Genomic DNA, 9792 nt, shown 5'->3' with positions numbered 1-9792 from the left:
TTCTGGCCCTTTATCTCTTCTCCTTCTTTAATTCCCAGTATGTGTAGATTAAATCTCTTGATAGTGTTCCATAATTCCCATAGGCTTTATTATTTTTCTTTTTTCTGTATTTAAAAAAATTGATATAGCTGTACATAATTTGGGGATACATAGATATTTGATACATGTATACAATGTGTAATGATCAAATAATTTATCTTTTCATTGTGTTGGAAAATTACAATTGTTCTCTTCAACCTATTTTGAAATATACAATAAATTATTTTTAACTATCATTGCTTTTTCATTCTTTTTTCTTTTTGTTCCTCTGTTAATGTAATTTCAAATGTTCTGTCTTCAAGCTCACTGATATTTTTCTTCAGCTTGATCATGCCTGCTTTTGAAGTTTTCTATTGCATTTTTAGTTTAGTCATTGTATTCTTTTTTTTTTTTTGACAGAGTTTCACTCTTGTTGCCCAGGCTGGAGTGCAATGGTGCAATCTTGGCTCATTGCAACCTCTGTCTCCCAGATTCAAGTGCTTCTCCTGCCTCAGCCTCCCAAGTAGCCGGGATTACAGACATGTGCAACCATGCCTGGCTAATTTTTGTATTATTAGTAGAGATGGGGTTTCACCATGTTGGCCAGGCTGGTCTCAAACTCCTGACCTCAGGTGATCCGCCCACCTCGGCCTTCCAAAGTGTTGGGACTACAGGCGTGAGCCACCGCGCCCAGCGTAGTCATTATATTCTTAATCTCTAGGATTTCTTTTCATTTTTTTCTTTTTTAAGATGGAGTCTCACTCTGTCTCCAGACTTGAGTGCAGTGGCTTGATCTTGGCTCACTGCAACCTCCATCTCCCGGGTTCAAGTGATCCTCTTGCCTCAGCCTCCCGAGGATTTCTTTTTTAAAATTGTATCTACTTCTTTGTCAAACTCTTAGTTGTGTTCATGTTTTGTTCAAAATTTCATTTTATTTTTTGTCCATATATTCTGTAGTTCAGTGAACATCTTTCAGAAGGTTATTCTGAATTCTTCACCTGTCATTTCCTAGGTCCTATTGTTGGAGCTTTGTTAGTTTCTTTTGAAGGTGTAATGGTTTCCTGAATCTTTGCAATTCTTGCATCTTTGCATTGGTATCTGTGCATTAAAGGAAACAGCCACCTTTCCCAGCTTTTATAGATGTGCTCTGGCAGGGATACACTTGCATTATTTAGTCTAGTCTATGATTCAAAGTGGGCCAGTTGGTGACAGTCCTGAGGAGCTAGAACTTGCTTTCAGGTTCTCTAGATGCCTGGACTGCTGCCTTTGCTCTGAGTTCATATGGAGAAGCTACCTAGGCTCTGCTATCCAGCGAGACAACTGGCTGAATTCTGCAATCAGTCTGAGCTTCTGGGTAGGCACTGCAATTACCTCAGATTGGACCAAACCACAGGAAGATCATTCCTTGGCCAGGTAGTATTACTATGTGAGTTCAGCAGTTGATCTGGGTTGTAGGAGGGTGTCTGAAATTAGGTGGAGATGTTGATTGGGGTGAACAGAACCAGCTGCTTTGCACAGTGGAAATGCACAGTTCAGCTGTGTCTCCTTGCTTATGAGAGGATTTGGGGTGGACTTTGAGTCCAGGCTGAGCACTGCTTTAACTCCTAGGTGTGGCACAATTAGCCACTGCCCTTTGCTGAATCTTTCTAATACTGTGATCTTTCAGCAGAACATCCAGCAACAGTACAGAGAGCACTAGTTCTGAGAAACACAACTGGGAAATGCTGACTGTCTTAATTAGGATATATACTATTACAAATGGAAATATATTCAAGCTAACTAATGCAAGAAAGAAGTTTAAGGGAAAAATACACGAATATCTCCCATGAATCAAGAACAGAAATCACAGCCAGACTTTAGCAGGCCTGACAGTCAGGCCACCTCCATGTATGATAATCTCTAGTCTGCCTTCTTTGACATCCAGCAATTAACTCATTTTGTATCTCCCTTAACATGTTACCTCCCAGGACAGTCCCTGCTGTGCATCATGACTAGCACATAGTAGGCCCTTTCTCATTGTCTGTCATTGAGACCGTGAATGCATCTGTCTAAAGACCTGAAGTTGAATGTGTCAAGCTGCCTAAGGTTTCAGAACTGCAATCTATTTCATAAGTGAGACAAGCAAGTGGACTCCAAGACTCTAAGTGAAATGAAGTCTGATGCATTGGCCTAATAAATGGGAACAGCATTTGGAAGATTATTAAAACCCATAAGAGTCAGATAATTAAAGCGGCAAACAAAGATTTTATATGATTTTTGAATTCAGACACACACACAATGCCTCATGGCAGTGCGCCCTGTTTTTCTTTTAGACCTAATTGTTTGGATACAATTGGGAAAAAAAGAAAACAACTTCTGTTAATAGAAGTACTTACTAATAAATAATTCAGCCATGATCAAACAGTTCTTTACAACTTTGAGGTTTTTATTCCTAAAAGGACATGGCATAATTTTTTCTGTGATAATCAATGATTATTATAAAAAGTGTCAATAACCTAGTGAAAATCTCTCACATTCCAAATCGACCACTCTCAGAAATAACTACTATTAATAGTTTGACATATGTATCAAATACTTTCAATATATTCTGTGTTTTTCACTTGACATATTATTGACACCATTCATATCAATACACAGATATGGCTTGGGCACTTTCCATCATATGGATGAATAATAATTTGTTTGACTACCAGCCTTTTCATAGGCATTGATTTTCCTTTTAACTTTTTGCTGTTATAAATATCTGTGCCGTCAATTCCAAAGCATAATACTTATTATTTTCTTGGATAATTCCCAAAAGTGGAATTTCAGGGTTGCTCTCCAATTAGTTTGTTCCAGCATCCATGTGGTGTGCAGAATTATGTGCAAAGATGTTCACGTCCTAATTCCTAGAACTTTAGAAAATAATAGGTTACATGGCAAAGAGAAATTAAAGTTGCTAAATCAGATAAATAAAAAAGAGTGAGAATATCTTGGATTATATGGGTGGGCCCAGTGCAATCTCATGGGTTTTAAAAGTAGACTAGAGAGGAAAAAGAGAATCAGTGGAAGACATAACTACAGAAGAAAGGCACAGAGATATGTGAGATTGTTGGCTTAAAGATGCCAGAAAGGGCCGTGAACCAACAAAGGTGGGCAGCCTGTAGAACTGGGAAGGGCAAAGAAATGAATTCTCCCTAGAGCTTCCAGAAAGGAACACAGTCTTGCCAACATCTTGACTTTAGCCTAGTGAGATCTGTGTCAGACTTCCAAATTACAGAACTGTAAAATGATAAATTTGTGTTGTTTTAAGCCACTGAGTTTGTGGTAATTTATTGTGGTGACAATGGAAAGCTAATACAGTTTACTCTCAGATTAATATAGTGAGAGTCAGCATCAGTTCTCTATTTGTTTAAGCTACTGTTAGCTATTTGTTCTATAATTTGCAGCCAAAGCAGTTCTAATAGAATCTCCCTTTAGTCCTTACTCATGTCCTATCCACTTTCTCTCCTCTATTCTAATCCTATCCATCCTAGTTGAAATCCTTCATGAGGCTTCCTTCACTGTTGCAGCTAGCCCCTCCAGCATGCATCCAATCAAATCGGTTGCTACTTTTATGTTGTATATTCCTCTGACTGTTTAATGTTTGTCAGCCCTGGCTGCTCACTAGAATGACATTGTCCAGTAGAACTCTCTGTAGTGAAGAGAATTTCTTTTCTTTTTTTTTTAATCTTCTAAAGGCTTTGTTATTTTGCCTCTAATACTCAGACTCATAATCCTAGACTTTTTTTTTTTTTAATGGAATGAGGTAAATGTCTATATTACTTTTTATCGTAAGGATAACCAGTTGTCCCAGTACCTTTTATTTTTTATTTTTATTTTATTTTATTTTTTATATTATTATACTTTAAGTTCTAGGGTACATGTGCACAACATGCAGGTTTGTTACATATGCACACATGTGCCATGTTGGTGTGCTGCATCCATTAACTAGTGAAGAGAATTTCTATATCTGTTCCCAACATGGTCATCACTAGCCACATGTAGCCACTGAGCCCTTGAAATGTGGCTTGTGTAACTAAGGAACTGCAATTTTAATTCTATTTAATTTCATTTTAAATAACCACATTTGGCAAGTGGCTAAAATGTTGGTAAACACAGCACTAGAATTTTAGTCTTTTTTTTGTTTTGTTTTGTTTTGAGACGGAGTCTCGCTCTGTTGCCAGGCTGGAGTGCAATGGCGCGATCTCGGCTCACTGCAACCTCCACCTCCTGGGTTCAAGCGATTCTCCTGCCTCAGCCCCTGGGGTAGCTGGGACTACAGATGCACGCTGCCACACTCAGCTAATTTTTGTATTTTTAATAGAGATGGGGATTCACCATGTTGGCCAGGATGGTCTTGATCTCCTGACCTTGGCTTCCCAAAGTGCTGGGATATACAGGTGTGAGCCACCCCTCCAAGGCCCGAATTTTAGTTTATTAAAGAAAACAGTAATGAGTAAAGTTCTTTGCCTCTAGTAGAGGGGTAGGTAGTAACTACATAATAATTCATTCTTAGATGGCCTTTAATGACTCCATATTGCCCACAGCAGTCACTGGCAATTCATACACCTACAGGAAATGGACAGGTAATATAAATGAGGGAAGTTTCCTGAGCACAACAATAGGGAAGGGTGGGAACTGCAGTAAGCTATCTAAAGGGGCAGTGGCTTTTCAGCCCCAGATGATGTTGCCATATTGAAGAGAGGATCAATATGGCCAAATAGTTCCATTTTTTAAAGAAATGCCAGAAATTGGGTATTTAGATAAAAACATCATATTTTAAAATGTTGATAATTCAAAATTTTTTATAAAAGAACTCTGGATAGTACAAACAAAAGATATATGTTGGCCAGATGTGATCAAAGGCTCACCAATTTGAGGCCTGTGACCCACAAGATAAATTTCAGATTTTTTTCCAATCTAGCCCCAGGAGGTCTGCAGATAGCCCAGGCTGGCCTCCTGCAGTTCCTCTCTAGTGTACTCTGCTCTAGCAACCTGGGACCGCGTGCAGTTCTCCAAACACATCCTGCACTCTTTTGCCTTTATGCCTTTGCTTCTACCATTCTTGCTGCCTCTACACCTTCACCCTACACAAACCTTGACCCTCTTGTCTTCATAGGAAAATCCTAATTATTTTTCAGTGCTCAGCTCAGATGTCCTTTCTTCTATAATGTCTTCTCTGAATCTCTACAAAATCAAAAGACTAACATTTTGCACAGAAGACTATTTCTCATGTGGTATTAGAATAAGTTGCTTTCCAACTAGCTTCATTAATAATTACTGCTGGTTTCTGAGCACTCAGCTAAATGACTTGTGTAACTAACTGTGCTTAGAGACTTATTTAACCTACTACCTGTTCACCCCAGGGATAGGCAAATAAACCCTGGCTGCTACTTCCTTCTCTGCATAGGATGAGTAATGACAATAACCACCTTCTGGCATGGTGAAGAGTAAAAGAGATATAACATGTAAAGTGCTTAGTACAGTGTTTGGAGCACAGTAAATGCTCAGTGTGTGTTTGCCCTTATAGTCACTTCTCACCCTTGGAAATGCCATGGAGAGAGGCCCATATGCCAGGCAATATAATCACAAATCAATGTCTGCTTTTAGGAGAGTTTGCCCTGGAGAATTTTAGGTGGTGGGGTGGGGATGGGGTTCATATTTGATACTACACAGTTGGGTTTTGCCGTTGCTGTTTTCTGTTTTTGCATTATGCAAACTCACAAGGTATGTCCCTAAGCTCAGCAGGCACATGCACCTTTTATTCCTCAATATCAGATGGTTGGGCAGATGATGACTTTTCTCTCCTAGTTGCTCCTTAGTACTTCCCAAAATGAATCTTGCATATGCCATATAGCTTACATTTTAAATCAGACCATCTAACTAACAGACCATCCAAATTGTGTGGAAAATCCATGCAACTGTTACAACTTGAAATAGCAAGGAGACAAAGCATTTTGTTTATATAGGATTTTTCTTTACAACAATGCTGTGACTTAGCATTATGAATTTTATAATACATATTTTAAAAACTGAAACAGGCTGAGGAGTCAGCCCAAAGTCACATGAGTGTTAGAGCAAAGATTGACACTCTGATCTGTTTAAAGTTGAAGCTCAATGATGCCAAAGCACAGCCCAGCCCAGAAGAGGGGCCGACCCCGAGTCTCCAGGTGGGGAAAGTAACTGAAGCCAGGACTGGCTATGTGATGTGCAAGGGTTACACTGCCAGTGCAGGGACCCAAGTCGAAGTCTCTTGACTCCAGGGGCTTCTTCTGTTCTAGGTGACTGCCTCTCCCTGCACGAAGAAACAGTTTGCATCCAAGACACACTAAAGAAGGGATGAAGCAGACCAGTGCTAGTGGCAGCTCATGAAAGGGTCTTTGAGGCAGCCTGGGCATTTCCTCAAGACACAGTCATTGGGGATCACAGCTGGAGCAGACCCAAGGAGCATCTGCACAACACTCAGACCACAGGGGAGGATCGCTGGAGGGCACAGCTTCCCGTCATGACAACCAGGCCAGACTAGCCTTTTTCAAAGACGACCAGCAAGGCTCTCAGGAATCTCAACCCAACTCTTCTGTGTTTCTTCACAGGCCTTTGAAAACCTAGACTATCCAGAAAGATACATTTCATCTACAAAATAGCAGGCCCTGTGCCTCCCTGAGGAATACCTGCATTTCTTGGAAGAATAGTTTTTGCCATACTGTGAGGCCCATGGCTTTTGAGAATTCCTTAGAGTGGTAGAAAGTCATAATTAATCCTTCTTTTTTTTGTTTCATTTCTCTGGGGAAAAATGGATTTAAATAAACTCATAATGTGATAACACAAAACATATGTTGATGTGTACATTCTGAAATGTAATGTTCCTACTGCAATACCTCCATATCTTAGAAAAATAGTCGCAGTTTTCTGACTAAAAATGTCTTACCGACACAGTCGCTGGAAAACACTGAGGATGTACACACCAGCACAGAGGAAGATGTAAGTCAGCTACCATCCCAGCACTCAGAGCCAGCCAGGCTTAATTTCTTGGTGCTTACATGTCCTGTTTGTTTTTAAAAATACATATAATACTATTTTCTTAGTTGATTTTTTTTCCTTTAAATATTCTGAATACCTTGTGATAGAGCTGTCCTGTATTTTGACTGTGATGGTGGCCACACAAATCTACACATGTGACAAAGTTGGTCAGAACTCAACACACACACACACACACACACACACACACACACACAAGTGAGTGCATGTAACAATGGTGAAACTTGAATAAGGTTGGTAGACTGTATCAGTGTAAATTTCTGTAATATTGTACTATAGCTATGCAAGATGTTACCATTAGGGAAAACCGGAAAAAGAGTACACAGGACCCCTCTATATTGTTTCTTACAACTACACGTGAATCTAAATTATCTCAAAATTAAAAGTTTAAAAATAACTTGAAACATATGATGACGTCCTTCCTTATCAACATTGCTATACAATATCATTTTCAATAGCTATTTAATTTTAAACTCCATGGATATATCCTGATTGAGTTAACCGATTCTCTAATAAATTCTGGTCTTAGGGACCAGAAAAGCTACTCATTGCAGACATTAACCTAAGTTATGAATTTATCAAATCAGAAAAGATCTTATTAATCATCTAATTCTAACAGATCATTTTATAGAAGGGAAAATTAAGGCCCAGATAGGCAAAGTATTTTGTTCAAGATCAGAGAGGCAGTAAATGAGAAAGTGTAGCCTAGATCCTGGGCCTCCAGACACTCAAGCCTTAGTGTACCACCTGTGAAGAAGACAAAAACTTAGTTTAATGGATGACAGACTAATATGCAGCCACCAGATATAGTTAAGTTATGTAGCTTAAATATGAACTGACATAGCAAAATGATCTGAGTAATTCCAGAGTTGCACTCAAAGACAGTTAATGCAAATGGGTGAAGCGGCATGAATGGATTACAGTACAGTGGGATGAGAAGTATGAAAAACTCAAGTGACAGCAGTTACTTACTTCCAGTTAATCGTTGCTACCTCAGAATGCCAGCTGTGTTGCCACAAGGAAATTTGGATCTTTATGTAATAATATTGTAATTTATAAAATATTCGCACCAAATTCTTTAAAATGAACCAAAAAAATCCCAAAGAACTATATAAGCCAAGCACATATTTGTGGGGGTGAATCAATTTGTAAGCTCTATGTGTAAACAGTTTGTAACTGCTCAGGTATAATTCAATTTGTATTATTAAAAAAATATATACAGTTGACCCTTGAACAACATACAAGTTAGGGGTGCTGACCCATCACACAGTTGAAAATCCATGTATAATTTTTGACTCCCCCAAATCTTAATTATTACCTTCTGTTGACTGGAAGCCTTACCAATAACATAAATAGCCAGTTAACACGTATTTTGTTTGTTATATGGATTATATACTGTATTCTTATAATAAGCTAGATAAAAGAAAATATTATTAAGAAAATCATAAGAAAGAGAAAATATATGTACTATTCATAAAGTGGAAGTGGATAATCATAAAAGTCTTCATCCTTGTCTTCACATTGAGTAGGCTGAGGAGGAGGAGGAAGAGGAAGGGTCAGTCTTTCTGTCTTGGGTACAGAGGCAGAAGAGATGGACTAGGTGGCAGAAGAGGCAGGAGACGCAGGCACACTTAGTTTAATTTTTATTGACAAAAAATCTGCATGTAACTGGGCCCACACAGTTCAAACCCATGTTGTACAAATGTTAACTGTACATAAGAAAGTAAATCTGGGTGAATAAACAGATAGCATCCATTGCCACTGAAACATGGGTGTTTTGAACGCTTGCCTTTCTCCTTCTTCATCATCTTCTTTTTAATTTATTTTTTCTTTTTGGCTGCCCAGCACCTATGATCCATTATTGTGATTGGGAAAAATCATCCTCCTTCCCCATGGCAGAGTCTTTACCAAAGGTATCTGAAAATGCCAGTTACTGGCTTTCCTAGCCTTCCTTGGAGCTGGGACATAAGCACATGACTTAGATCCCACCAGTCAGATGTGATACCCCAGACTCAGAATCTTGGTACTATGTGGAAGAACTGCTCTGACACCTTCCCAGGAAGGTATTGTAGTTGTGGTAGCCATTACCATTTGCTGGAGGCCTCAGTGACAAAGGTAGAGGCAGTGTCCAATGGTACAAGTTCTGGGGTGTCCATGAGACGAGGATGTGTTTGCGGCTAGTAGGGGCAACTGCAACACCTTGTGGGATCAATTCCTATTTCGATTCCCGATTAGTTTTCTTCCAACTTTTATTTTAGGTTCAGGGGTACATGTGCAGGTTTGTTACATGGGTAAATTGCGTATATCTTGGATTTGGTATAAAAATGATTTCATCACCCAGGTAGTGAGCATGTTACCTGATAGGTAGTTTTCCAATCCTCATCCTCCTTCTACCCTCTACCCTCAAATAGACCCCAGGGTCTATTGTTCCCCTCTTTGTGTTCACATATACTCAATGTTTAGCGCACACTTATAAGTGAGAACATGCAGTATTTGGTTTCCTGTTCCTGTGTTAATTCACTGAGGATAATGGCCTCCAGCTGCATCCATGTTGCTGCAAAGGACATGGTTTCATTCCTTTTTATGGATGCATAGTATTCCATGGTGTATATGAACCACATTTTCTTTACTCAGTCCACCATTGATGGATATCTAGGTTGATTCCATGTCTTTGCTATTGTGAAAAGTGCTGCAATGAACATATGCGTGCACGTG

At 39.2% G+C, this 9792-nt stretch overlaps 1 annotated feature.

The window, feature by feature from the left end:
- Positions 6231-6762: an enhancer, noted in NCBI's record as "NANOG hESC enhancer chr3:63152724-63153255 (GRCh37/hg19 assembly coordinates)". NCBI's record gives its function as "activates a minimal SCP1, AML or CMV promoter by ChIP-STARR-seq in naive H9 embryonic stem cells {active_cell/tissue: H9 hESC(naive)}" and the evidence as "EXISTENCE:reporter gene assay evidence [ECO:0000049][PMID:30033119]".

This window comes from Homo sapiens, chromosome 3 (assembly GCF_000001405.40).
Source record: "Homo sapiens chromosome 3, GRCh38.p14 Primary Assembly".
Lineage (NCBI taxonomy): Eukaryota > Metazoa > Chordata > Mammalia > Primates > Hominidae > Homo > Homo sapiens.
This window is presented reverse-complemented; position numbering and strand designations above follow the sequence as displayed.